General features: G+C 42.1%; 1 protein-coding gene across 5 annotated transcripts in view, besides 13 other annotated features; it reads right to left on the bottom strand.

Moving 5' to 3' along the window:
* DUSP22 (dual specificity phosphatase 22) overlaps positions 1–2,966 on the bottom strand; it is a 58,869-nt gene extending 55,903 nt beyond the window's left edge. For all 5 annotated transcript variants that reach the window (NR_104473.3, NR_104474.3, NR_104475.3 and 2 more), the window contains exon 1: positions 2,893–2,966. Coding sequence is in view for 2 of the 5 variants with exons in the window: in NM_001286555.3 (NP_001273484.1) it covers positions 2,893–2,913 (21 nt within the window). In the remaining 3 variants the exon portion in view is untranslated. The remainder of the gene's footprint in view (positions 1–2,892) is intronic.
* Positions 1,674–1,733: a silencer, noted in NCBI's record as "silent region_16802". NCBI's record gives its function as "represses an Ori minimal core promoter by ATAC-STARR-seq in GM12878 lymphoblastoid cells {active_cell/tissue: GM12878}" and the evidence as "EXISTENCE:reporter gene assay evidence [ECO:0000049][PMID:35858748]".
* Positions 1,674–1,839: a biological region, named in NCBI's record as "ReSE screen-validated silencer GRCh37_chr6:293614-293770".
* Positions 1,683–1,839: a silencer, noted in NCBI's record as "fragment chr6:293614-293770 (GRCh37/hg19 assembly coordinates)". NCBI's record gives its function as "represses an EF-1alpha promoter that drives an FKBP-Casp9 reporter gene in an ReSE screen in K562 erythroleukemia cells {active_cell/tissue: K562}" and the evidence as "EXISTENCE:reporter gene assay evidence [ECO:0000049][PMID:32094911]".
* Positions 1,744–1,803: a silencer, noted in NCBI's record as "silent region_16801". NCBI's record gives its function as "represses an Ori minimal core promoter by ATAC-STARR-seq in GM12878 lymphoblastoid cells {active_cell/tissue: GM12878}" and the evidence as "EXISTENCE:reporter gene assay evidence [ECO:0000049][PMID:35858748]".
* Positions 2,234–2,493: an enhancer, noted in NCBI's record as "active region_23818". NCBI's record gives its function as "activates an Ori minimal core promoter by ATAC-STARR-seq in GM12878 lymphoblastoid cells {active_cell/tissue: GM12878}" and the evidence as "EXISTENCE:reporter gene assay evidence [ECO:0000049][PMID:35858748]".
* Positions 2,584–3,603: a silencer, noted in NCBI's record as "silent region_16800". NCBI's record gives its function as "represses an Ori minimal core promoter by ATAC-STARR-seq in GM12878 lymphoblastoid cells {active_cell/tissue: GM12878}" and the evidence as "EXISTENCE:reporter gene assay evidence [ECO:0000049][PMID:35858748]".
* Positions 2,584–4,003: a biological region, named in NCBI's record as "H3K27ac hESC enhancers GRCh37_chr6:291666-292166 and GRCh37_chr6:292167-292667".
* Positions 2,786–3,286: an enhancer, noted in NCBI's record as "H3K27ac hESC enhancer chr6:292167-292667 (GRCh37/hg19 assembly coordinates)". NCBI's record gives its function as "activates a minimal SCP1, AML or CMV promoter by ChIP-STARR-seq in naive H9 embryonic stem cells {active_cell/tissue: H9 hESC(naive)}" and the evidence as "EXISTENCE:reporter gene assay evidence [ECO:0000049][PMID:30033119]".
* Positions 3,287–3,787: an enhancer, noted in NCBI's record as "H3K27ac hESC enhancer chr6:291666-292166 (GRCh37/hg19 assembly coordinates)". NCBI's record gives its function as "activates a minimal SCP1, AML or CMV promoter by ChIP-STARR-seq in primed H9 embryonic stem cells {active_cell/tissue: H9 hESC(primed)}" and the evidence as "EXISTENCE:reporter gene assay evidence [ECO:0000049][PMID:30033119]".
* Positions 3,714–4,003: an enhancer, noted in NCBI's record as "active region_23817". NCBI's record gives its function as "activates an Ori minimal core promoter by ATAC-STARR-seq in GM12878 lymphoblastoid cells {active_cell/tissue: GM12878}" and the evidence as "EXISTENCE:reporter gene assay evidence [ECO:0000049][PMID:35858748]".
* Positions 8,076–8,145: an enhancer, noted in NCBI's record as "active region_23816". NCBI's record gives its function as "activates an Ori minimal core promoter by ATAC-STARR-seq in GM12878 lymphoblastoid cells {active_cell/tissue: GM12878}" and the evidence as "EXISTENCE:reporter gene assay evidence [ECO:0000049][PMID:35858748]".
* Positions 8,366–8,435: an enhancer, noted in NCBI's record as "active region_23815". NCBI's record gives its function as "activates an Ori minimal core promoter by ATAC-STARR-seq in GM12878 lymphoblastoid cells {active_cell/tissue: GM12878}" and the evidence as "EXISTENCE:reporter gene assay evidence [ECO:0000049][PMID:35858748]".
* Positions 14,022–14,176: a silencer, noted in NCBI's record as "fragment chr6:281277-281431 (GRCh37/hg19 assembly coordinates)". NCBI's record gives its function as "represses an EF-1alpha promoter that drives an FKBP-Casp9 reporter gene in an ReSE screen in HepG2 liver carcinoma cells {active_cell/tissue: HepG2}" and the evidence as "EXISTENCE:reporter gene assay evidence [ECO:0000049][PMID:32094911]".

Raw genomic sequence — 27,640 nt, 5'->3', positions numbered from 1 at the left:
AGCCTTTTTCCCCTCCATCTTCTGTATAATCTGCTGCGTACACCTAACGGAAACGGGCACAATATTCCGCCGTACAGGAGCCCGGAACGGACCGACAAGAAGAGCCACCACAGGGATGTGAATGATAAAAACTGCTGTCCCAAAGCACTCAGAATGCAGCGTGCACTGTTTAGACCAGAAATGCTCTTTTGCCAAAAATGACCAATGTGTACGAGATTGGAAAGAAATCTTGTCCCAGTAACCTCAGGGCACACACATTCCAAGTTATGTTAGTTCCAAAGACATTGCACATATTTATAAATGTTCTTAGAAAAGGATTTCTAGGGGTAGCACCTTCCGCTGATTCTGCAAATCAACCATTCTTCTTTTTTTACAGATGAAGCCTCGTTCCAAGTCACACAGTAATATATGGAAAAGTTCTAGTTAAGGTTCTTAAGTTACTGGCCTCCTGCGATCTACTTTGCCACTAATGAACCTTGTGATTTGGGGTAGTTCCTCCTGATCTCACGTTAAACATGTTTACTGCAGCAGGATTCCTTGCCTGGGCTGAATGCCCCTTCTAGGTCACTTTCATCCCATCTTCTGCTTTCCCCACTTTTCTGAAATTGCCTATTTTATCCTCTGGAGCCTCTACTCCTCCCTACCTTGTGTTTGTTCTCTCTCTCACCCCCACACACATACACACCCTGTGTTGTGCAACACAGCAGCCATTAGCCACAGTGACTATCGAGTACTCCAAATGTGGCTAGTCCAAAATGAGATGTGATTTAGGCATAAAATACACACTAGACTTTGAAGGTTAAGTGATCTGGGGGTCCCGAGATTTTTCCTTTCACAAAGACATAGTAAAAAACATGGAATCTTCCATGAATAACTTTATATATTGGTTACATGTTGAAACAATAGTTTTAATATATTGTTAAATAAAATATATTATTAAAATTAATTTCACCGGTTTATTTTTTAATGTGGCTACCGGAACATTTTAAGTTACATATATAGCTCGCATCATATTAGTGCTGGACAATGCTGACCTGTACTGAAGGTTCTGTGAAGAATCTTTGGGTCATTTACCACTGTACTCCCTTTGCCCCCTCCCCACCCACTAGCACAACACCTGGCTCATAGTATGTACATAATCAATAAGTGTTGAAGCAGGGAAGTCTCTAAATCTCTCTATACATGTATTTCTTCATTGATACACTGTGAGTCTCTATTCACAAGATAATAAAAGTCAAGAAATTTATTACCCATTTTGAAAGGTAAAAAGTATATGAATATTACTGCTTTTGTTGAAAAGCATGAAAATAACGTTGATCCCTTAGGCAACCATCTGTATTCCTAAATATATTTTTTGAATTGTATTACACAAATACTATAAATTAAATGCTGAAAACGGTGGAGAGTGAACAGCTCAAGTGGGAAAACTAGAAACAGCCAAAGGAAAGCTGAGATACCACCACCAATGGGAAGGCAAACGGAGCCCACAGACTTATGATGACCATCTTTATTGTTCTGTTTTAATTTAAAAAGCAGAAGGCTCGTGGTGCTGATGGATTCCAGTGCTCATCGGAATATAATACAAGTATTTATCCAAGAGAGAGACAGTCTGTTTCCAAACTTGATCACTCGCCAAAAAAAAAAAAAAAAAAAAAGTGAATACAATTCTCTTTACCAAAATACCCCAGTATTGATATGCAGGTCCCAAACACACAATAGTTCTTTCACAAACTGGGTAACCAGGACACAATAAACACGACATGCGCACGTGAAAAGTTAGCTAGGTTTTCCCTGCCCTACCGTGAATCCGCATTTGCAACACTCCAGCCCCAACACCCAAACCACTGCTGACCCAGTGCTGAGGGACATGAAAAAAAACACAGCCACATTGCCATCCCCACCCAGTGTGGAAGCTGACGGCATGTAGAGATGTGGGTGGGTGGAGCGCAATGAAAAAGTGAAGCAGAAAGACGACTCATCTAATCCAGGACCATTCAAAGACCCGTAAAAAGGTACTTGTCTTTGTTGCGGGCTTTGTAAAGTCTTGTCAATCCTTCCTCGAAACCAGCCAAGTACCAAGTAACAAAATCCTTAACCCTGTGGTTCACATGAATACACCCCGGCAACTCTCAGCTGCCAGAGCTGGAATCTGGCAACTTCCCTGGACGGGAAAGGCTAGCCCACCGCCCGGGAAGTGAGGTGCGGGCAACAAAAGAACACAGGGTGGGGCCCAGAAACGGACGGGACAAATGGAGCAACACAGATTTTCCAGAAGGCCTCATCAGCGCAAGCAGCCAGCAACAGGTTGCCCTTGTTGCAGAAGTCACATAACCTAATCAACTCTGAATCTTTTCTCTCCTCCCCACTATCTAGAAACAGCTCAGGACTTAGGACTCTGTTAACTTCTCTGTCCACAAGAAAAACTTCTCTGTGCTCACAGGCACACACACAGAATCTGAGGAGAAAGAGGAAATTACAGAGGACACCCGTTTACTAATGATGTGGGGGGGGCGGTGGTGGCTTCAAGAGCGTAGTTTGGGAGCGAAGAGGAGGGCAAAAAAGAAGCCACATCCATTCGGAGCTCAGCTGACCTCTCGGCAGAACAAGTGTCAACGCTTTCAAAGGGCGCGGCTTGTTTCAGCCACGAAAACGCACCGGCTGGCAAGGCAGGCGGCTGGGGGCTGCCTACCCGGAAGCCGGGTGGGGTGGGGGCGGGAACACCTCCGAACCCCGACTCCGCGGTCGCCGCCCAGGCGCGCCGCCCCTCCCTCCGCGCCCGTCCCCACCGCGGGAAAGGGCACCCCGGGCTCGAGTCGTCGGGCAGCCGACGCCGGCGAGACGGCAGGGCGTCGGAGCGGAGGCAAACCCAGCGCGAACGAGGGAAGACGTTACCTTGTTCATCCCATTCCCCATGGTGGCTGAAGGCGAACGCTAGCGCCCCGGCCGTGTGGTCGCAGGCGCACTATGGCATGTTACAGGGAGGAGGAGCGGCGGGGCGGGCGGGGAGGAGGCGCGCGGGAGGGACTGAGTGCTCGCAGTGTCAACAAGTCAGCGGCAGGGACCGGCCGGGCAACCCAGGGCGCTCCAGAGACCCGGCGTGGAGGGCAGGGCTTTCTGTGCGGCGGCCTAGAACTTCCCGGCGGGAGCCGGGCAGGGGCACCGGAGCCTATGCCGGGAAATGGTCCCGCCTTGCCGGTCCCCGCCCCCGTGCGCACCGGGCAGGCCCAGCGTCCCTCCTCGCTCCGCCCGCCCGCACCCTGGGATTCGTAGTCGGGTTCCTGGCTGCCGCGCCCCACTCCGCCCTCGCGGACCCCGGCTCGCGGCCGCCGGGCGTGGGAGGCACTAGGCTCGGGCTCCCAGGCGGCCGGCCCCGGAGGCCAGAGCGCGTGCGCGGCCCGAGCCGCCCCGCCGGGACACCCGAGGCTGCGCGGCGGGGCCTGGCGGACGCGCAGGCGCTGCCCTGACCGGGCGGCTGCGCTCGTCTCGGAGCCCGCTCCCCGGCCGGGGGTCTCCAGATCCCCCTTTGGCCTTTTCCCCTGGGGCGACTCCGGGGGCCAGTTACCAGCAGTCGCTACCCAGCCTTGGCTGCCTCCGTGAATCAGGTGCTAATCAGAGGCCTGGTCTCTGGGGGCTCCCCTGCCTGGGTTTTCTGAGTGCGGCAGATTTAGGCTGGGGGATTTCCTGCGGCCCTGCCCCATGCACCAAGACCGAGAAGCCTCGCCTGGTGGGGAGAGGTGGGCTACGTGACTCACCCCGGGGAGGCCCGACCTCCCTACCCTGGGGGAGCAGATGGCTGGATCTCTGACCTCAGACCTCACGGCCTTAGATGATGTGTGTCCCTTAATGTCTGCATTGTGGTTCTGTCTGGAATGGATCAATTTCTAAACTGTAGCAGAATTGTTTTGGGTGTTCTATCAACGTTATTAAACTCTGAAGTTTCTCTCCAGCGACAGAATCCTTGAGCCAGTGGTTTTTCTTCTTAATTTATGTATCCTCAACAATGTCCTGAACATAGTAGGTGCTTAATAAATATTTGCTGAATGAGTACATGCGTCAATCTGACGTGCCCTGGCTCACCCCTGCTGACTTCATTTTATCTTCTTGCTAAGCGAGTTACACACATGCTGGTCTCCTGTCTGTTCCTTGAGCCTGTCAGGCTTGCTGGGCTGTGCTCTCTATCCAGACACCTGGATCCCCAGCTCTCTGCATACCTGCCTGTTATCGCTGAGGTATCAGCCCAAATGCCATCTCTCCTAAGAGGCTTTTCCTAACCACCCAATTCCAGGTTGGTCCTCCAGTCACTATCATATTACTCCGTATTATTGATCGGAAATACATGTATTTGCTTTCTTTTTATCTGTCTCACTAGCCAGCAACTTTCAGATTAAAAAAAAAAAAAAAGTTGTCTTATTCAGTAATACAGCCATGTGGCCTGGGACAAAATCTAGCACAAAATAGTGATTTTTAAAATATTTGTCAAATAAATTAATAATTTCTTGTGGCCGAGAAAACGGGTGAGGTTCTGAGGAATGTGAACGTTTGGAAAGAGCTTGTAGACTCCATCTGTCGCCATTTCTGTACTTGTACCCCATATCTTCTGGGCAACAAATGGTATCAAAACCCCCCGTGTAGAAAGCCCTCAATCAATATGCGCTTGCATGTTTTCTCTAGGTAGAATGGGACCCAGACCCGGAGTGCCCTTTCTGCCTCTTGTTTTGGGAGAGTGTTCCTTCTTCACTGCCTTCACTTCCTCTTCTCCCGCCTGCTTCTCAGTCACCTGGACAGCCTGCCCTTTCCCCTCTGCCACACACTGCCATTAAGTAACTGTTTTTACCACCTTCCTGCTTAGAGACAACACAGAATCGTTAGTGGACTGCCTGGGGAATCCCAGTAATCAGCCTCTATTTCTAATTCTTAAGGAGGTCTTGAGCAAGATGATCAACTTTTCTGAGCTAGCTTTTTTTTTCTCTTTAAAACAAGAGCATTAAACTGTGAATTTTTGAAGCTTCTATCCAGCAACCAATGAATTACTTCTGCAGCCTTCTGCCCTCCTTGGGCCATTCATCCAACAGTCAGATGAACGTTTAAGAACACAACCAGTTCATAAACTGGTACTTGACCATGAATGACAAATTCATACTGATTTTTTTCTTCTGTCATCCACTTGCAATATTTCTCTCTTATTCATACTCTTCTTGTAGATATATTTCTCCAGCTTGGACCATCTGCTTTTCCCCCTAAACTCAGAACCTGCCATGGCTTCCTCCTTACCGTCAAAATCAGCATTCAGTATGGCCTAAAAGGTCCACATGCCCAGAGTTCCTATCAAAATCTCAAATTTTTCTTTTGGGTTAAATAGGAAAAGAGGAGACTATTAACACCAGAAGTCAGAAGAGTAAGATTTAAAAAAAAAAAAATTATTGGTTTTGGCTGGGCGTGGTGGCTCAAGCCTGTAATCCCAGCACTTTGGGAGGCCGAGGCGGGCCGATCACCTAAGGTCAGGAGTTCTCGACCAGCCTGGCCAACATGGCAAAATCCCGTCTCTACTGAAAATACAAACATTAGCCGGGCGTGGTGGCGTGTGCCTGTAATCCCAGCTACCCGGGAGGCTGAGGCAGGAGAATCGCTGGAACCCAGGAGGCAGAGGCTGCAGTGAGCCAAGATTGTGCCACTGCACTTCTGCCTGGGCAACAGAGCAAGACTCCGTCTCAAAAAAAAAAAAATTATTGATTCTGTGGGGTTGGGGGGTTTCCCACAAGAGACTTGCTGTACTCTCCTCCACCCTAACCCTGAACACCTCTCTTTATTACAATAATAATTCCCAGTTGTTCATGTCTTGCAGTTCTATGACTTTTACTCTCTAGCTCTTGATTATGGAAAGAAAGGAAGAAGGGAAACACTTCAACAAAGCTGGCGTATTTCACATCCATAGTAGAATCTCTATTCATTTGTGCTTTATCTCACTCATAAAAATTTTAAGGCATCACAAGCCTGGTGGATTTTCACACTATGTAAGATTTTTACTTCCACTTTTCTTCTTGTTATTTTCTTCCTCTCAGTTCTGCCAACATCACAAATTTTGGCAACAACTCCGAAAGAAGTCAAGCCTTCATGTGTGCACAATAAGGAATGGTCTACAGAGTGTGTAGGATAGCTGAGTCCATACTTACACATGGTTAAGGATAACTGGTTAATAGTGTATTTAGTGAGCAGTAACCTTAAACTTTAAGGTGGCGGTGTTTAAAAGCCCGCAAGCAGAAGCTCAACCATTAGAGTTAGCCAAATCATTATAGGTGTTAGTGATAATTTCAGAGCATCAAGATTAACCTCTATCCAACAGAGAAGTAATTATGTAATCTTCACTGGCCTCTTGAACATATTGCAGTCCAGGGTTTCTCAACCTCGGCAAAACTGACATTTGAGGCTGGATACATTTTTGCTCTAGAAGGCTGTCCTGTGCACTGCAGAATGTTCAGAAGCATCTCTGACTTGTGCTCATTACATTTCAGTAGCACCCTCTCAGTCATGACAATCAGAAATGTCTCCAACCCCCTCTCCTCAATAACCAGCTAAATCTACACTAATAGATCATGTTAGTTCTCTGCAGAATTCTTAAGCCACAATTGTTCATTATTAACAAATTGAGAACAAGAAGTTAAAATGAAGATCTAATCTAGCCAAAGCCTGACTAAAAGTAAAAGAAAGTGAGAATCTAATGAATTGTGGAAAGAAGAAAAAAGGTGGAACCTGGAACTACGGAAGCAAAAGCACAAAACATTTTCTCTGTTTCTCCAGCATTGTCCAGAGAGAGGCTGCCCAGTTGAATACCTGAGTTCTCAAGGCCATGCAGAACAGCCTGACCATGAGGATGGGCCCCTGTGGTATACGACCTCAACTCTTCAAAGGTCACAATTTCCAGCCTTCCAAGCAGTCTTCTAATTATGAACGTGGTTTCCTCCTTTCGCTGAAGAGATTTGCGGGGCTCAGATCTCAGCACGGATATCTGGAGAGTGTGGGGTCAGGGAAGAGCAGCAAGAGGAATGGATATCCAGGTAAATGACTGGGAGGGCAGAGAATCTGGGAGCAGGTAAAGGGAAAATGTTCTCAGGCATTTAGTTGGGAGTCAACAAAAGTCTGTGGACAGAGTTCCTGGGAGGATTGGCAGAGGCTTGCAGGAATGAAGTTATCAGGCAGATTATAAAACAGTGCCAAGCAAAGGGGAAATAAGACAGAGCCCTGGTTCCTAAAATTTGGAGGTCACATTATTATCAGCCTGCAGGTCAGAACATACATGCCTGTGTATTCTCAGGACAACTGTTGTTTTCCCCCAAATGGTAGCTGCCTGAGGGCAGGGACCAGTTGTTAATCAATCTCAGTATCCAGCATCTAAGATAGTCCCTAGTGTGTGGGGAACTATGTAGATGTTTGTTGATTTAGGAAAGAAATACATCTGGGAGGCTGTTGAATTTGTCCAGGCATAAGGATCACAAATAATTCATCCTTTGATATGCCAGAGACTCCATCAATACTGCATCTCCTCATGTTTCCTTTTCTTGAGCAATGTAGTTTCCATGTGAGATGGCTCTCTAGGAGTAACCAGAATCCTGTTGTCTTTTGTTTCTGAAACAGATATAGGGCACACTCAACAGAGAGAGAGAGAAAGAGAGAGGAGAGAGAGAGGAGAGAGAGGAGAGAGTCCTTGCACACAATGCTTCCGTGTATTGCTGTACTCCACCCCTTGGTCTACAGCCATAGCCGTACTTGGCAGAGCACAAGACTCTCTGTGGTTCTGCCTCTTGGCATCATGTTGTTTTTTGATCTTTGGTAAGAAACCATGCCTGACTTATGCATGGCCATCATGGAAGTTGCTTGTGTTCATTTTCCGTGTGTGGAATGGTCTGACTTGGCCCATCTACTTCCCTGTCTCTACAAAGGAAGGTCTACCTGGGACAACAAACTAGGCCCTTAAAACTTTTCATGGTTTAAAAACGAAACAAAACAAAAACAACATTTTATGGTTGATGACTCGAGCCCAAAACAGTTAACAAAATCTGAACCACGAATACCTTTTTAATCTCAGGAGAATAATCATCATTTTCATCAGTGTTTGACAGGACTCCTGTAAGACAAGAGCTTGGGCATTGCTTCCTCAGCCTAACTTGCCTGGGCGGAAGGAGACATGGCCAGAAGGTCTTACCATTTGCCTTGTATGTGGTACTCTTTCTGAGGTCTCCAACTCTCTTAAAATCCTGTTCAAAATGATCATGTGGACTGCAGTCTTGTGGACAGCAGGAAATGGACCCGAAGTGTCCCTGCACAGAGGGTCCTAACCATCTGTGCTTGCTGCACCTGCACCGTCAGCTACCCTCTCTGAGGCACACTTCTCCTTCTTCAAATGCCTGCAGGGACCAGGGGGCAGCCCAGAAGTGAAGACAGAAGGGAGGACAGCAAGGGAAGCCCCAGCTCAAAGAAGTGACTGGGCTAGGGCGGCCCTCCTTAAAGATGCTTCTGCCTGCCTGCCGAGTGTCACTGTTGAGCTCTTCCCTAGTGCAGAGCTTTGCACTGCTTTCATTTGTTTTTGTTATTCACTCTTTCATGCAAAACTGAAATTGAACTGGATCTGAAGACACTGAAAAATGTCTGGGTAGGGGGCTGCAGGGAGCAGGGGTTTTCCTGAGAGAATGGAATGTCCCATGAGAAATTTCACTTACCATGAGAGGGGAAGTCCATTTCGTATGACATGATATAACACTGTCATTATAAACTCTCCGTTGGTTTCACATGTGTTAATATTTATCATTCTTTTGATTAGTTATTCATCAAGAAAACCCTGTGAATTCTGAAAAAATCATCATGTATCAAGGGTTCCTCAGGCTAGATGATGGACCCAGGATCATTTTCTCTATTCTTTGCAACAGAGAGCTTGCTTTTTATTTTTATTTATTTATTTTTTTAACCAAACACCACTTGGTCTGCAGGTGAGGAGCTGTCCTTGCCCACATGAGACAATCTCATCTGAAGCAACAACCTGGTACCAGGATATCATGTTTACTCATGAGAATACCGTCGACCATTGACCTTCAAGTGAAGGTTGATCTGTACTTTTTTTTTTTTTTAAGACAGAGTCTCACTCTGTCCCCAAGGCTGGAATGAAGTGGTGCGATCTTGGCTCACTGCAACCTCTGCCTCCTGGGTTCAAGCGATTCTTGTGCCTCAGTCTCCCCAGTAGCTGGGATTACAAGGGCATGCCAACACTCCCTGCTAATTTTTTATATTTTTAGTAGAGACAGGGTTTCACCATGTTGCCTAGGCTGGTCTTGAACTCCTGAGCTCAGGCAATCCACCCACCTCGGCCTCCCAAAGTGCTGAGATTACAGGTGTGAGCCACCGTGCCTGGTCTGACCTGTGCTTTTCACCTTCTCTGCACACCTGTGTGCCCTTTCTACATGGGGCCTCAACTCCAGACCCCGCAAACAACAACTAACATGAGGACAACTGCTGGGAAGAGGCTGAAGCAATTGCAGCATGATCACACAAGGTTGGGATAGATTTCTTTCTCATCTCTCATACACACCCCTTGCAAAAAAATAGGTGGGCAGAAAAGTCTGGGGCTAAGCTTGCCCTGTTTCATCAATGTACAGTTTGCATTACTGAACAGACTAGAACAATGTGTCAATGTAAAAACATTTATATCTGGCTTAAATGACAACAGTTTATCTGCCCTCCCTCCCCAAAATACAAAGCAGTACCTATCTTACCTCTGATGTAATTAAAGTGTCCATGATGGTAACTTTTCCCAAGCAAAGCCACAGTCTGTCTTAAAGGTGAGATGAGATCTTTATCTCTACAGACAGAAAATGTTGTAACTTTTAAATGGCAGTTCACCTCCTGCTTGTTGAGGTTTACAGGGCAGCTTAACAGGTGGGTAGGTGCAGTGGATGGGCAGAGAGATAACTGATATATAAGACAGAGAGATATGTGGACATATTTTCTTACTGTAGTGCTTTTAAAAATATGTACAATTTAAAATAAACTTTTGCTTTCAAAATTTCACTATTTTTGTTGCAGTGATAACCACCAAGCCAAAGGGACAGGAAGCTCTCGGCATTGTTGGTGTTTTACTCAAGCCATGGTATGAAGCTTCTTTTTGGTCTAAAAGTATGTGTTTTTAGTAATAGCAACTCTAGAACTTCAGAGGCAGTGTAAGTGTTGGTTCTAATTGGTAACGTTACATATCTGAGGATCACAGGGCTGCGGAAGTTAAGACATCTAATCGAGTGCTCGCAGAACAGCTCCTTTGAAACAGAACATGCTTTCCTCTAGTTGTGGATTAAGTGCAACCCTTTCACAGACTTAACAATAATAATCCCTTGGCCTTCTTTTTCTGTTTTCTTAAATATATGGTTTTAGTTGTATCGGTTAGTTTCTATTTAATTTGGTAGAATTTTTTATTTCTAAAATGTTTAGTCACCACATTAAAAGGGGGCACAATCTTCTATTTGGTATAAAAGCCTCTGTGCTACGGTTTGCCCAGGATTTTCCTGATTTTGACACTGAAAGTTCTGTGTCCCAGGAACCCCTTTAGTCACGAGCAATGTGGGGCAGTTGGTTACCCTCAACTGTGGTATATTTTGGTGAAATATACTTTAGCTTTAATGAGAAAAAGACAATTATCATTTAAACACCATCCTCTTTAGGTACAAATAATTCCCTGTGTGAGATGTTGAAGGAGAGCAGCTGCCTCCCATTGCTGGGCAGGGCCAGGCACACTCAGCTGCTTGGAACACATGGCAGGAACGAATTTCTGCTCAAGGCTTGGATCAGGCAATTGATGCTTTCTGGAAGGGAAATAATGGCTGAGGAAACGTCGATGTCAATATTTCTTCATGGAGAAAAACACATTTTGATCTTTCTTCATGGAGAAAAACACATTTTGATCTTTTCCTCAAACAAGTCAATAAGGTATCAGGTTCTATTTGAATCTTTTCCCTGGAAAACATCTTACAATTATGAGAGTCTAATAACTTTTTCTTGTAACATTAAATTGAGGCAATTCCAATGCTTCAAACAGTATTTATTTAAAAGGAGATGGACAACCTCCTAAAAGTTGTTAGATTTTCATGAAATGGAGAGACTGAGTGCATCAATGAGTTGGTAATTAATCACTTTTAATTTCCCCTCTTAAGTCTCCTCCTCCATACTGTCCCTCAGCCCAGGTAGCTCTCCAGGTAACAGGGTTTCACAAGCCCTGTGCACATTCTCTATCTCCAAGCATTAAGGGGCCTTTTTAATTCATTCAACCAACATTTTTTGAGAACCTCCTATGTTCTAGGCATTGTGCTAGTAACTGGGGTTACAGAAATAACAACCTGCCCCACTCTTAACTCGGTGTTGCTTTATAACTTCATGGGAAAGAGGGACCCACACGTAAGTGATTCCATGTCATGAAGTATACTCTGAGTTTGTAAAACTTGCTTTGGGAACTTAGAGGAAGCCATGCTTAGAACTGCCTCAGCTGACTCTTCCTTTCCGTGAAAACAAGCATCCTTACCTTTCTGTACTGCTGTGAAGTTATTTCAAACATACATACTTATATGTGTTTCCAGATGAACAACTTTGGTTATTTAGGGCAAAGAATATGATTGGCCTGTCTTGGGCAGTTCTGGAGCTCTTGGTTTATGAAGTATCGCTTCCAAAGGGGCCATATGTAGGGAGTGATGCAGGTGCCGTATGCCAAGTGAAAGGGCCATATGACTGTGCTCCTGCTTCTCAGCCGCAGCTGATTTGGTGAATTTCCACCTTTCACTGTGCCCACCCCTTCCCTTCTCCCTTTATATGGGGTGCTCACAAGTACCATTTCTGAGAACAGCCTTTGAATTTAGAAAGGCTACAAATCTATAAAAGTGGCATAATTCTGTGAATACAGGTTTGGGAACGTTTTAGTCGTGAAGGGAAACCTTTTCCTCTTGAGGAAAACTCAGCCTTGAGAGATAGATGGTTGGCAATGAGCTAAATCAGCAAATCAAATTTGACATGTATTGAAGAAAATCAAATTGTAGAGCGTGAAAGGCCTTTGAAGATCATCAGATGCTAGTCTAAGCCACTTAGCAACGGACGCATTCAGTGATCTTTCGCGGCCACACGAATCGGCAGAATCAGAAAATATTCGCTGTCCAGATTCCCTCCTCACTACAAAGGCCCCTCCTCTGGGGCTCCCCCTACCTTTCCACTGTCTAGCAACTAAAGGGTGAACACCAGGCACAGCTTGGGAGCCTTCAGGCTTTAAACCCCACTCCTGCTCCAAGCTGCTTTGTGTTTGCTCAGTATCCATGGTATCGTGATATTTTGAGCATCTCCCCCGGAAGGCTGAGTACAATTCCAGCAGGAGGTGAGGACAGCAACCACTGCTTCTGGTGGGAGGAGGGATGTGAGCAGCCACACAAAGGCTGGAGTCGGAGGATGTTCTGGAAAGCAGGAGGCGGTGGTCATGGTCACGGCAGGAGCAGGAGAATTTGAAGGTCGTTTGAGGCCAAGTAAGGATGCCTTGCTTCCCACATCTCTCTGAGCATCATGAGATGAACAGGAGCAGGACTGTAGGGGAAGAAGTGGAAGTAGGAGATCCCCAGGAGCCGTTTCCAAGTCCACAACACTCAGTGCTCGGGAGGCTGGAGAGAATGCTGGGGAGAGTGGCGCCAGAAGCCATCGTCAATGATGGCATTGAACTGAACACCTGGCGCCCGCTCTACATACATCAGACCCCGGGCAAGGCCCTGCGGGTGCACAAAGAGCAAGGCATGGTTTCTGCCCCCAAGGAACCTGCACCTCCATAGGGAGCACAGAGCTGCACGCCCAGGTGTTCAGGGCAGAAGAAAGAAAGTGGTCCAGGGTACTCGCAGCCAAGGCACCCTCAAGTGTCCCAGCAGCAGCAAATGAAACTCCAGTCAGACAGTTGAAGCACCTTCAGTGAGGAATCACTTCATGAATCGCATGGCAGGGTGAAGAGAACCCAGAGGAGCCCTGGGCTTGGAGACCAGACAGTGGGAAGCCGTGACCATCGTAGGCCTGAAGGGGCGGAGGAAGAACAGCCTCGTTGGAGCCCAGTGGCCGCTGGAGCCACGGCAGGGGGGCCACCTGCGGAGTAGGTGGGGATCTCTAGGGGCTGAGTTGAGTCCCTCTTCCCCAAATTCCTATGAAGCACCTCAGAATGTGAGTGCATTTGGAGATCGGGCCTTTCAAAAGGTAAGTCAGGTCAAATGAGGCCATCAGGGTGGCCTGGATCCAATCCGACTAATGTCCTTACAAGAAGAAGAGGTGGGGACACAGAGACACAGAGGGAAGCCCATGTGAGGACACAGGGAGAATGAGCCAAGGCGAGAGGCCTCAGAGGAAACGCACTCTGCCTACACCTGCCTCTTGAATTTCCAGCCTCCAGCCTCACAGACTGTGAGTAAATAACTGTTGTTTATGCCACTGAGTCTGTAGTGCCTCACAAACTAATGCAGGGAGAGACACACCTGCTGCCACAGATACAGCTTGATCATGGACAGCATGGGGAAGAAACGCCCTGGCCTTTCTCAACCTTTTCCAAACGCCAGACCCACCCGGAAGCCAGCAAAGGAGTCCAACTGATGTGTTCCATATGTGCCAAGCTCCCAGGACACCTGTGGGGCAAAGAGAGAGGGAACATAAACAGGGAGGGAAAAAATAATCTGCAAAGGCATCCAGTCAGGTATTGAGAAATCAAGACAGGCTGCATGGAGGAGGTGAATCGTGAATGGAGTCTGGAATAACAAATGAGTTAATATGAGTAAAGCACTTAGAATCCTACTTGTCCTACAATAAGAGGTATCTGTGTCATTTTTACCACATATTGATATTTATTACTACTTCTAATTCCTCCTAGAAATACTGGAAGGTTGGTATTATTTTCTCCTTTTTACAGATAGGAACGTTAGACTCAGGGAGGCTGAGCAAATGGCTAAGCCGGGATCCACACTCAGGCCTGCCTGGCTCCAGAGCCACCAGTCCAGGCTGCATCCCAAGAGGAAAAATCCCTCAGCCAGAGGAGGAAGCCTGGGTGAAGGGCAGTTCCGGAGCAGGGTGTTGCAGACTCAGAGGCGTGGTGGCGAGAGAGATGGGCACCTTTGGGGACCCAAGGTGGTACACCAAGGTGGGCCTACAGAGTGCAGCATGGGGAGAGGCAGGAAGCGAGCGGAAGGGAGGCAGGGACAGATGACGATCATCCTCTCCTGCCTTGCCAGAAGCTGATACTCCTCCCAGGGAGCTTGGGAAGCCTTCCTGGGATTCAGATTTTAGATTGAACATCTTGAGAGCAGTTTAGAGGATGTCATATTCTAGCAAGTAAGACTGAAGGCGGGGAGATCAGTTAGAAGACCTTTACAGAAAGCCAGGTAAAAAATAATGAGGACCTTAACCAAAGATGGGCCTTGGGGAAGGGGGACTGAAGGGTGCTGGTGGAGGAAGCCACAGACTGCAAGATGTGCAGGACTTGAAACTCACTGGATTTGGGAAATGGGGAGGAGGAAGACGCAAAGGGTAACTCTGGGTTCCTGGCTTAGGGAACTTCATGGATGGCGGTGCCCTTCCCAAAGGCTGGGAGCAGAGGAGGAGGAACCTGTTAAGTGAGAAAATGATGATTGCTGCCCAGACACCTGAGTTTCAGGTGCCTCTGGGTTACCCAAGCAGAAAAGACAGAGCCAAATTCCATGAGAAAAAACAGCAAACCCAACAACAACTTAAATTTTGTTAAGTGTCTTACAGCAAAATCACAAGATTTTGATTGCTCTAAAAATGATTATTTGTTCCACCTTTGGGAGCAGTGAAAGCACATGCCACCATGAGTAGGTCATCGCTATAAGCATGTTACTTTAATAATTTTAAAATAAGCAGCTGAATTCTAATTTTGCAAAAAATACTTAAATAAGCATTGGAAGATAAAAAGGTAAGAGTGAAAGATGAATAAGACAGAGTCTTCGAGGAAGAGCTGATGGTGGAGTCACAAAACTGAAACAAAGGGTGGCTAAAGAGGATGGAGTGCCAAGGCCTGGCACGGCGGCTCACACCTGTAATCCCAGCACTTTAGGAGGCTGAGGCGGGTGGATCACGAGGTCAGGAGATCAAGACCATCCTGGCTAACATGGTGAAACCCTGTCTCTACTAAAAATACAAAAAATTAGCCAGGCGTAGTGTTGGGCGCCTGTTGTCCCAGCTACTTGGGAGGCTGAGGCAGGAGAATGGTGTGAACCCAGGAGGCGGAGCTTGCAGTGAGCCAAGATCGCACCACTACACTCCAGCCTGGGCAATGGAGCGAGACTCTGTCTCAAAAAAAAAAAAAAAAAAAAAAAAAAGATGGAGTGCTGAGTGCAAAAGCAAAATGGACTTGGTAGATACTGAGGTTCCCACCTGAACACCTATATGACGATGATGGCTACTTCTGGTAAGTCAGGTCAAATGAGGCCATCAGGGTGGCCTGGATCCAATCCGACTAATGTCCTTACAAGAAGAAGAGGTGGGGACACAGAGACACAGAGGGAAGCCCATGTGAGAACACAGGGAGAATGAGCCAAGGAGAGAGGCCTCAGAGGAAACACACTCTGCCTACACCTGCCTCTTGAACTTCCAGCCTCCGGCCTCACAGACAGCCTCACTGAGAGCCACTTCCAGTCCTGTTGTCAGCAGTGGAAGGTAATGCTGGGCGTAAAGGCCAGATGAAGGCAAGGACTCTTAAATTTGACTGGAAGAGTGAATTATACATGTCATGCAGTAGGCCTCTTTCTAATCTATCATTTCAAATTTGTCAGCTTAAATAGGCAACGGATATTGAGGAAGTGAACTATGCGATGTCCTGAATTGTAGAGATAATTTTTAAAAGTCAATGTATGCTAAATAAGTAACCTCAAAGATGGTTTTATGAGATCTTAATTTGAAATAATTTATTTTATCATGCACCTCATTTCCAGTAGTTTGGTAGTTCTGACAACCCCAGCTGTGCTCAGCAGATAGCCTTAGGAATGAAACGGTATGAAAGAGAGACAGCCTCATCGAGAGATGGCTCTCAGTCCTCCTGAAAGTTCTTTGCAATAACATCCATGCAGTTATACTGTTGGTCAAATAATGTCCCTAACATATATTTAGAGAATAATAAAGATAAGGCACTGTCTTTATTATTTATTACAACAGAGGAACCTATGTGCTTTGCAAGACCAATTAAAGAAGATTCTAATGCATACATTTAAAGCTCTGTTTTATTATGTCCTTACTGAGATTTCTACTCATAAAGAAAGACAGATGAGGAGTTGAAAATATACAGAATGGCAGGAGTACTGCCCCCACTCTAACAAGTAAAAACTAGATATACCATAGAATTGTAACTTTTCCTGAGCGCATCAAATACCTGAGGTCATAGGGTAACCAAATAGTTCCAAATCCAAAAAAAAGACAATTCTTTCCGAGGGTAGAAAGGATTTGAGCATTTGTCCACCAGTGGTAAATGGGAGAAACAGAATCCCAGCTACCGTGCAAGTAGATAAGAAGATAAACCTTCAAGACAGATTTCTAGAGAACAACAATGAGCTAGTATGAGAGAAAGCCACTTCCAGGCTCTCCCCACAGCCTTCCACCAGATTCTCATGAGAGGCCACTTCCAGGCTCTCCCCACAGCCTTCCACCAAATTCTTACGAGAGCCACATCCAGGATCTTCCTCCACAGACTTCCACCAAATTCTCTTGAGAGCCACCTCCAGGCTCTGCCCACAGCCTTCCACCAGATTCTTATGAGAGAGATTTCAGGGCTGCGGTTGGAGGATTAGAAGGAGCCTCAAGGTGGTGCAGACGTAGACTGGGAAAGCTCTGTCACTGCGGGACACTCGTGAGTCCCACCCAGACCCTCTCTTCTGTGGAACTAAAGCTTTAATTCACTTTGAGGAGCAGGAAACATTCAGTCCCAGGGCACAGGTGAACATGCCTATGTTTGAGGAAGAAATTTTTTCAAGAAACCCTCTAAACTTTGGGGAAGATAAGAAAACAATCCTGGTCCCAGAGCCCTAATGGGCCTCCTACTACTGGGGTACTGGGGGAGGGTAGAAAACACCAAACATCTAGGGTTACCAGATTTAGCAAATAAAAATACCATTAAATTTGAATTTCATAGAACAATAAATAATTTTTACTATAAGTATATTCCAATATTTGTGACATAGTGATGTTAACAAACTCTTCATTGTTTACATGAAATTTAAATTTAAATGGGAATCCTGTATTTTCCCTGACAACCCTAGGGACACAAGCTCTGCCAAAGATATGCAGGAGAATTCAGCTCCAAGGGAAGGAGCAGAAACCCCAACCCTGAAGTCCCAGACACACAGGGCCTGCCTGAGGCTGAGGCTAGACCAGGACAACAAAGAATTCTCCTGCTTCCCACCACAACGATTGTTCATAGCAAGTAAGAAGAAGCAGCCTACCACTGGGAGATGGCAAGAGCACAGAGAGAGAGAATGTCTGTGGTGCAAGAGTACCAAGGAGGCCAAAGCTGAGGATGAAGAAGGAACATTGAGGAAAACTCTCCAGGACCTGAGCAGCCATCCTAAGCACAATGTAACACCAGAGACCACGGAAGCCAGTGGTGCACTGAAGTGAACCAGAGCAGCAACAGAAGTCCAGTTCAACTCAACTCCTGACCAGATTGAGTCAGGCTCCCAAATAAACTACCAGAAGAATCCAGTTCAACTCAACTCCTGACCAGATTGAGTCAGGTTCCCAAATAAACTACCTAGAAGAAGAGTTATAACTATTTCCAGGGATAGATACTATACACCTCAGTATATCACAGCAAAACTGAAGGTAGGAACTCAAAAAGATACCGCAGGCCAAATTTCCTGGGAGAAAAAGATGGAAGCAATCCAAATGTCTATCAGCAGATGAATGGATAGACAAAACATGGCTTATACATGCAATGGAATATTAATTCAGCTTTAAAAAGTAATGAAGTTCTGATACTTAAATGAATCTTGAAAACATTATGCTAAGTAAAATAAGCTAGAACAAAAGGATAATTAGTGTATAATTCCACAGTAATTATCCAAGAGGTACCAAGAGTTGTCAAACTCATATAGACAAAAGTAGAATAGAGGTTACCAGGAGCCTGGGGGAGGTAAAAGTGAGGAATTATTATTTGGGGTGATAAAAAGTTATAGAAATGGGTGGTGCTTATGGTTGCATGTGCTGTGAATGTACTTGGTGCCACCGAATTGGACATCTATAAGTAGGTGAAATGGGCTGGGTGCTGTGACTCACACCTGTAATCCCAGCACTTTGGGAGGCTGAAGCAGGTGGGTCATTTGAGGTCAGGAGTTTGAGACCAGCCTGGCCAACATGGTGAAACCCCATCTCTACTAAAAATACAAAAATTAGCTGGGTATGGTGGCGGGCGCCTGTAATCCCAGCTACTTGGGAGGCTGAGGCGGGAGAATCGCTTGAACCCAGGAGGTGGAAGTTGCAGTGAGCTGAGATCACGCCACTGCACTCCAGCCTGGGCGACAAAGCGAGACTCCGTCTCAAAAAAATAAAAATAAAAACATAGTTAAAATGGCAAATTTTATATTATATTACATATATGTTTTACAATTTTTAAAATAACATTTTTAAAAGAGTTCATAAAAATCTCCAGGCTCAGATAGCTTCACTGGCAGATTTACCAAACATTTAAGAAAGAAATAGTGCCAATTTTACACAAACTTAGCGTAAGAATTTTCTTCCACTTAGCGTAATGTTTTCAAGGTTCACTCATGTATCAGAATTTTATTCCTTTTCAAAGCTTTCAGATAATTGAGAGAGAACACTTATCCATTCGTTCTGTGAAGTTAGCATTGCGTTGGCACCAAAACCAGATGAAAACAATACAAGAAGAGAAATCTACAGGCCAATTCCCGTCATGGATATAGGTGCAAAAATCTTCAACAAAGGATTAGCAAGTCAAATAAACGATATATAAAAATATAATAAATCATGACCAAGTGGAATTTATTCCATGAATGCAATGCTCGTTCAAATATTAGAAAATTAAACAATGTAATTCACCATATCAATAAAGAAAATAAATTATAATTTGATGAGATTCAGAAAAACCATTTGACAGAATCCAAAATCCATTTTTGATAAAAACTCTCAGCAAACTAGGAATATGAGGGAACTTCCTCCAAGTGAGCATCTACCAAAAATTTGCCAACATCATACTTAATGGTGAGAAACTAAATGTTTTCCCCTTATGATCAGGAACAAGAAGGGATGCCCACTTTCACCAACCCTATTCAACCTCATATTAGAGATCCTAGCCAAAACACTAAAGTGAGGTGGGGAAGAGAATACACATTGAAAGAAAGAGATAAAACTATCTCTATTTGCATATGACATGATTATCTAAGTAGAAAATCTCAAATAACATACAAAAATGGCTAGAACTAGCAAATGAATTTAATAAGACCAGAGGATACAAGGTCAATACTAAAATATCAATAGTTTTATTATATAATACCAATAAAAAGTAATAATTGAAATTTTAAAAACTGTGTTATTTACAATTGTACCAATAAACAGAAAATACTTAGATATAAACCTAATAGAGTTTATATGAGGTCTGTGTGTTTGAAAATAATAAAACACTGAGATGCGAAATCAAAGATCTGAATAAATGGATGTATACCATGTGTGCCATGTCCATGGACTGAAAGACTCAATATTTCTAAAGTGCCAGTTTTCCCCCAAGTTGATCTATGGATTCAGTGCTATCCCAGTTATAATCCCTGAAGGATTATTTGTAGAAATCAATAAGCTTGTTCTAAAATGTATATGGAAAGGCAAAGCAACTGTAATTGTCAGGTAAATAATAAATATCCTTATGGTTTAAGTCACATTTAGTTGAGTTTTATGTTGCAGCGGAAAGCATCCTAACCAATAAGAAGTCAACTGTTTTGGCAACGACGTTACCTGATATCTGAAGGTAAAATGAAATAGTCTTGACAATTCAGAATAACGAATCAGCCCATTGAAAATACTTGAAATATCTACTTTAAATGTTCTTCGTATTTATTGAATAGCAATAATAATTATTATTATGATAACAATGGAATGCATTAGGCATTTTCTATGGGCCAGAACTCATCTAAGTAATTTAAATATATGAACTCATTTAATACTTACGGTTCTATAAATCAGTACTGTATTCATCCTCATTTCAATGGCTCAAAAACTGAAGAGAGGGTAAGCCTTCAGAATTATGTGCTAAGTAAGTGGAAGGAGTGGTATTTTCACCCAGTAGTGCGGCTTCAGAGGCAAACACCTAACTACTACTCTACCACATGAACTCCCTCCATATTTTCTGTGCACACTCATTCACTATGTTGGATTTCATTAGAGATAATCACAGAACAACCCTACCTGAAATCCTAATCGTTACTTTTAAAACAAATAATAAAGTTATTTTAATTTTTAATAGCATCATTAAAGTTCCCATAGATTCTACTGAATCACAGGTTAGAACTTTTTGTTTTTATTTCATATACCTGTATTTCTTAACTGCTATAATTCTAATTCTGCTAAAAGAAGAACAACTGCTAACTATTTGTCTTTGCTTGGTTGAGTTTATCCAAGTTGGTAGAGGAAGCGACAACAATAACAACACAAAACAAAACTTCAGATCTAATTCTGAAGAAAAATCAATAACAGCGTAGAAATGTCTTTGTCTTCGTAGAGTATGGACTGACAAAGGAAAGATAACACTGAGCATATCTAGGCACATATCACAGGTTTTAGGAAAACACATTTTCTTTCTAATTCAGAGAATATATGGGTTTAATCTTAAATTCTTAAATAACCAAAGATTCTTTTGGTTCTAGCAGAAAGAAATTGAATTTACTGGAATAATACTGGATGTATGTATTAGTTTTCTATTGCTGCTCTAACAAATTACCACAATTTTAATGGTGTAAAACAACACAAATTTATTAGCTTACTGTTCTGTAGCTGTAACATCTGTAACATCTGTCAGAAGTCAGACATGGGCTGGGTGCAGTGTCTCACAACTGTAATTCCAGCACTTTGGGAGGCCAACTCAGGCATATAACCTGAGGTCAGGAGTTTGAGACCAGCCTGGCCAAAAGTGGTGAAACCCCATCTCTACTGAAAATACAAAATTAGCTGTGTGTGACGGTGCATACCTGTAATCCCACCTACTTGGGAGGCTGAGGCAGGAGAATCACTTGAACTCAGAGGCAGAGGTTGCAGTGAGCCGAGATTGCACTACTGCACTCCAGTCTGGGTGACAGAGTGAGACTCTGTCTCAAAAAACAAAAAACAAACAAAAAAGAAACCAGACATGGGTTTTGCTGGACTAAAATCAAAGTTTCAGCACACTGCATTCCTTTCTGGAGACTGCAGGGGAGAATGTTTCCTCCCCACACGATTTGTTGGAAGAATTCAGTTCCTTGCAGCTGTAGAACATAGGTCCATGTTTTCTTGTTGCTGTAAATTGAGGCCAGAGGTCACAGGATTCCTTGGCTCATGGCCCCTTTACTCCATCTTCAAACAACAGTGGCTTGAATCCTTCACACATTGCGTCACTCTGACCCACTCTACTTTCATTGTCTTCCACTTTTAAGGACTCATCTTTAGTTTCAGTGTGCATATATATATGCACACATACCTACAGAGGGATGTCAAGGAAGATGGCCAAGTAGGAAGCTCCAAGAATTGTTCTCTCTGCCTAGTCAACAGTGGTATTGCCAGAACCTGACTGATGTAATGAGTTTTGGAACTCTGGAGTCTATTTGAAGATGTCTAGCTTCCAGAAAGAGGCTTGGCTGAGATTTAAGGATTAGGACATTCAAAAGAAATTGCTTATATGAGGAAATTTGGAAAGTCAGTATGCATGTCTAGGGAAAGATACAGACTCAGAAAAGACCTGAGGTAACCTTAAGTTTACATCTCAGGCTGATCCCCAGTATAGAATATATATATATTTTACATATATATGTAAAATAAAATAGTCTTGACAATTCAGAATAATGAATCATCCCATTGAAAATACTTGAAATATCCTCTTTAAATGTTCTTCATATTTGTTGAATAGTAAAAATAATTATTATTATGATAATAGAATGTATTAAGCACATATATATTTTACATATATGTTCTAAATATATATATATGTATATATATATCAGTAAAGACAGAAAACAGAAATTCTGGAGTTGAAAAGTACAATAACAAATATAAAATTCACTTTGGTGAAGTTTTGAAACTCTTTAGTTTCAAAAGCAGATTTGAGCAGGCAGAAGAAAGAATCAGCAGACTTGAAGATGGGACAATGGAAATTACTGAGTCAGAGAAACAGAAAAAGACTGAAGAAAAGTGAACAGAGTCCAGGGGACCCATGGGACACTGTCAAGGAGACAAACATATTCATTGTGTCAGTTCAAGAAGAAGAAAAGAGAAAGAAAGTGATTTAAATACATAGTGGCTATAAATGTAAAAAATGCTAAAGGAAGATTTTCAGGTTGAAATGAAAGGATGCTAGAAAGAAACTCAAAGCCATATGACGAAATAAAGATAGCCAATAGAGGATTTACATGGGTAATTATAGAAGTTAATATAATTGTAATTTTGTGTTGTAACTCCCCTTTTATTTTCTATGAGTTAAAAGACAAATACATAGAGAAACAATGATTAGTCATTGTTTTTGATCATGTATAATTTATGACATCAACAATTAAAAGGTACAGACAGAGCTGTAAGCTTGTGTAAGTTCAAATTAGACTGTTATAAATGGAGGTGTTAAATGTAATTCCCATGGAAACCACAAAGAAAATAGCTATAACATATATACCAAAAGAAATGAGAAAGCAATTAAAATGTTTCACTACAAAAACTCAAACAAAGTAAGACAGTAATGTGAAAGATGAAAACAAAAGGCAAAATGGAAAACAAATAGCAAAATGGCAGAAATAAGTTTCTCCTTACTAGTGAATATTTTAAGTATAAATGAATTAAATTATCAAACGAAAAGACAGAGATTGATGAATAAATTTTTAAAAATAATTCAACTATGTGCTGTCTACAAGAGACTCATTTTAGATCCAAAGACACAAAAAGGTTGAAAGTAAAAGGATGACAGAAGATATTTCATGCAAATAGTAACCAAAAGAGAGCTGGGGAAGGGATAGAAATATTATACAAAATAGAGTTAAGTTTAAAAAAAAGTTGAAAAGAGACAAGGAATGATATTAGATAGTAATAAAAGTTTTAATATAGCAAGGTGATATAACAGTCATAAACATTTACACACCTAATAACAGACCCACGAAATACATGAAGCAAAAATGGACAGAAGTGAAGAAAGAAGTGGACTGTTCTACAATGATAGTTGCAGACTTCCATAATCAATAGAACAAGCAGACAGAAAATAAGCAAGGAAATAGAGGACTAGAAGAACACAATAAACCAACTACATCCAACAGACATGTATAAAACGTCCCACCCCACAAAAACAGAATACATATTCTTCTCAAATGCAGATGGGACATTCTCTAGGATCGAACATATGTTATGCTACAAAACTAGTGTCTATACATTTTTAAAAGATTGATATTATTTTTATAAAAGTGTCTTCTCCGAATATAGCAAGTTGAAGTTAGAAATCAATTAACAAAAAGAGAAAACTGAAAAATTCACTATATATGATAATTAAACAACATTTTCTTATGCAATCAATGGATCAAAGAAGATATCACAAGGGAAATTAGAAGTTACTTATAAATAAGTGAAAATTAAAACAATATACCCAAATTTATAGGATGCAGTGAAAACACTGCTAAGAGGGAAATTTAAAGCTGTAAATGCTTACATTAAAAAAGAAGAAAGATCTCAAATCAACAACCTAAATTTATACTTTAAGGAACTTGAAAAAGAAGAACAAACTAACCCCAAAGCTGCAGAAGGAAGGAAATCATAAAGATTAGAGCAGAGATAAATGAAATAGAGAATAGAAAAACAATAGAGAAACTCAGTGAAGCCAAAAGTTGGTTCTTCAAAAAGATCAACAAAATTGAGAAACTTTAGCAAGATTGACTAAGAAAAAAAGAGAGACGACTCAGATTACTAAAATCAGAAATGAAAGTGGAGACATTACTACCAATTTTTCATAAATATGAAGGAATATAAGAGAGTACCATGAATAATTGTACACCAATAAATTAGCTAACCTAGACAAAATGGCCAAAATTCTAGAGACACAAAATCTACCAAGACTGAGTCATAAAGAAATAAAACAATTTCTGGGAGGCCGAGGTGGGCGGATCACCTCAGGTCAGGAGTTCAAGACCAGCCTGGCCAATATGGTGAACCCTTGTCTCTACTAAAAATACAAAAATTAGCCAGGCGTGGTGGCACATGCCTGTAATCCCAGCTACTCAGGAGGCTGAAGCAGGAAAATTGCTTGACCCTGGGAGGCGGAGGTTGCAGTGAGCCGAGATCGTGCCACTGCACTCCAGCCTGAGCAACAGAGCAAGACTCTGTCTCAAAAAAAAAAAAAAAAAGAAAGAAAGAAAACATTTTAGTAGATCTATAACTTGTGAGAAGATTGAATCAATAATAAAAAAGTTAAATAAATAAATAAATAAATAAATAACTTCCAATCAAAGAAAAGCCCAGGACCAGATGGCTTTACTGATACATTCTACCAAATATTAAAAGGAGAAAAAAATACCAATCCTTTCCTGACTCTTCAAAAAATTCAGGAGCAAGAAACACTTCCTAAGTTATTCAGAGGACAGCATTGCTCTGATACCAAAACCAGGGAAGAATGTGACAAAAAACTATAGATGAATATCCATTATAAATATTGAGGTAAAAATCATCAAGAAAATACTACCAAACCAAATTCAGCAGCATATTACAAGGATCATATACAGTGAGCAAATGGACTTTTGTCCTGCAATGCAAAGATGCTTCAACATATGGCAATCAATCATGTAATACACGACATTAACAGAATGAAGGAAATAGAGAATAGAAGTAAGTTCTCTTCTTCTTCATCAATAATTTCCATTGATGCAGAAAAAGCATTTGACAAAATTTAACTCTTAACTCTTTTTCATGGATAAACAACACCTCTAATTACCATCTCAATTCAGACTAGGGCCTCAACAAATACATTTGGGGAGGACACAACACTTAGTCCATAGCATAGCCACAGAACTTAGGCAAGAAAAAAGAAATAAAAAGCATTTAATTTGGAGAGGAATAGGTAAAATCTTTCTGTTTGTAGATGACATGATCTTATATAAAACCTGAAAGATTATACACACACACACACACACACACAACTAATATAAAAATTCAGTAAAGTTGCAGAATGCAAAATCAACCACAAAATTATTTGCTTTTCTGTACACTTACAATGAACAATTCAAAATTAATATTTAAAAAATTCCATTTATAATAGCGCTTAAAAGAATAAAATCTTTAGGAATTAACCAAGGAGGTGAAAGATGTGTACACCAAAAACTAGAAAACTTTGTTGAAAAGAAATTAGGGATAAATAAATGGAAAGACATCCCATATTTACGGATTGTGACTTAATATTGTTAAGATATCAATACTACCCCCAAGTGATAATCCACAGATTGAATGATATCTCTATCAAAATCCTAACATTGTTTTATGTTGACAAATAGAAAACTCCTACAATTCATACAGAACTTAAGGGACCCTGAATAGTCAACGAAAATCTTAAAAAAAGAAATATCAAGTTGGAGCATTCACACTTCGTGATTTCAAAACTTACTACAAAGCTACGGGTAATCAATACAATGTGGTAGTGACATAAAAACCGACATATAGACCCATGGATTATAATAGAAGGCCCAGAAACAAACCCTCACACATATGGATGTATGATTTTTGTCATGGATGCCAAAAGCATTCAAGGGGAAAATAAATATTTTCAACAAATGGTGTTGGGAACCTGAACATCCATATTTAAAAAAAATGAAGTTGCACCCTTACCTAACACCATGTGCAAAAATTAACTCTAAATGAATCAAAGACCTAAACATAAAAGCTGAAACTATAAAATTCAGAAAACATAGGGGAAGGATTTCATGACATTGGATTTGGTAAATATTTCTTAGATATGACACCAAAATCATGGGCAACAAAAGAAAAAAATAGACAAATTGTACTTTATCAAAATTAAAAAATTTTTGCCCAGAAAACACTATAACCACAGTTAAAAGGGCAACCCATTTAATGAGAGAAAATATTTGCATATCTAATGGGGTTTAATACCCAGACTATATAAAGAACAATAACAAAAATCACACAACCCAATTTTAAAATGAGCAAAGGACTTGAACAGACATTTCTCCAAAGAAGATATGCAGATGGCTGATAAGCACATAAAAAGATGCTCAACATCACTAATTATTAGAGAATTTCACGTGAAAACCACAAAGAAGCACTACTTCCCACTCATTATGATGGCTATTATAAAAAATATAAAAGCAATAGAAAACAAAAACAAGTGTTGACAAGGATGCAGAGAAATGGAATTCTTGTGCATTGCCGGTGGGAATATAAAATGATGCAGCCGCTGTGAGAAACAGCATGGCAGTTCCTCAAAAAAATTACACATAACATTACCACATGATCCAGAAATTCTACTTCTGCAGAGATACACAAAAGAATTGGAAGCAACGACACAAACAGATATTTTTATAACCATGTTCATAGCAGTATTACTCAAAATTAGTCAAGAATAAGAATAACCCAAAGGCACATTGATGAATAAATGGGGAAACAAAATGTGGCATTCTCTACTCTTTAGAAGCAAGTCATCCAGCAAAGCCCCACATGCATGAGCTGGCAGAGGCGGGGAGGGAGGACTAAGCGCATCTCCTGGGGAGCAAGGTATTACATAAATTATTTGTAATCCTTCCATGTGAAAGATTTGTCTGTTCTTGTCTATTTACATATTTATTTGTTTTCTTTTATTATTATTATACTTTAAGTTTTAGGGTACATGTGCACAATGTGCAGGTTAGTTACATATGTATACATGTGCCATGCTGGTGTGCTGCACTCATTAACTCGTCATTTAGCATTAGGTATATCTCCTAATGCTATCCCTTTCCCCTTCCCCCACCCCACAACAGTCCCCAGAGTGTGATGTTCCCCTTCCTGTGTCCATGTGTTCTCATTGTTCAATTCCCATCTATGAGTGAGAACATGCGGTGTTTGGTTTTTTGTCCTTGCGATAGTTTACTGAGAATGATGATTTCCAATTTCATCCATGTCCCTACAAAGGACATGAACTCATCATTTTTTATGGCTGCATAGTATTCCATGGTGTATATGTGCCACATTTTCTTAATCCAGTCTATCGTTGTTGGACATTTGGGTTGGTTCCAAGTCTTTGCTATTGTGAGTAGTGCCGCAATAAACATACGTGTGCATGTGTCTTTATAGCAGCATGATTTATAGTCCTTTGGGTATATACCCAGTAATGTGATGGCTGGGTCAAATGGTATTTCTAGTTCTAGATCCCTGAGGAATTGTGCATATTTATTTG

The sequence above is a fragment of the Homo sapiens genome, chromosome 6, assembly GCF_000001405.40.
Source record: "Homo sapiens chromosome 6, GRCh38.p14 Primary Assembly".
NCBI lineage: Eukaryota > Metazoa > Chordata > Mammalia > Primates > Hominidae > Homo > Homo sapiens.
This window is presented reverse-complemented; position numbering and strand designations above follow the sequence as displayed.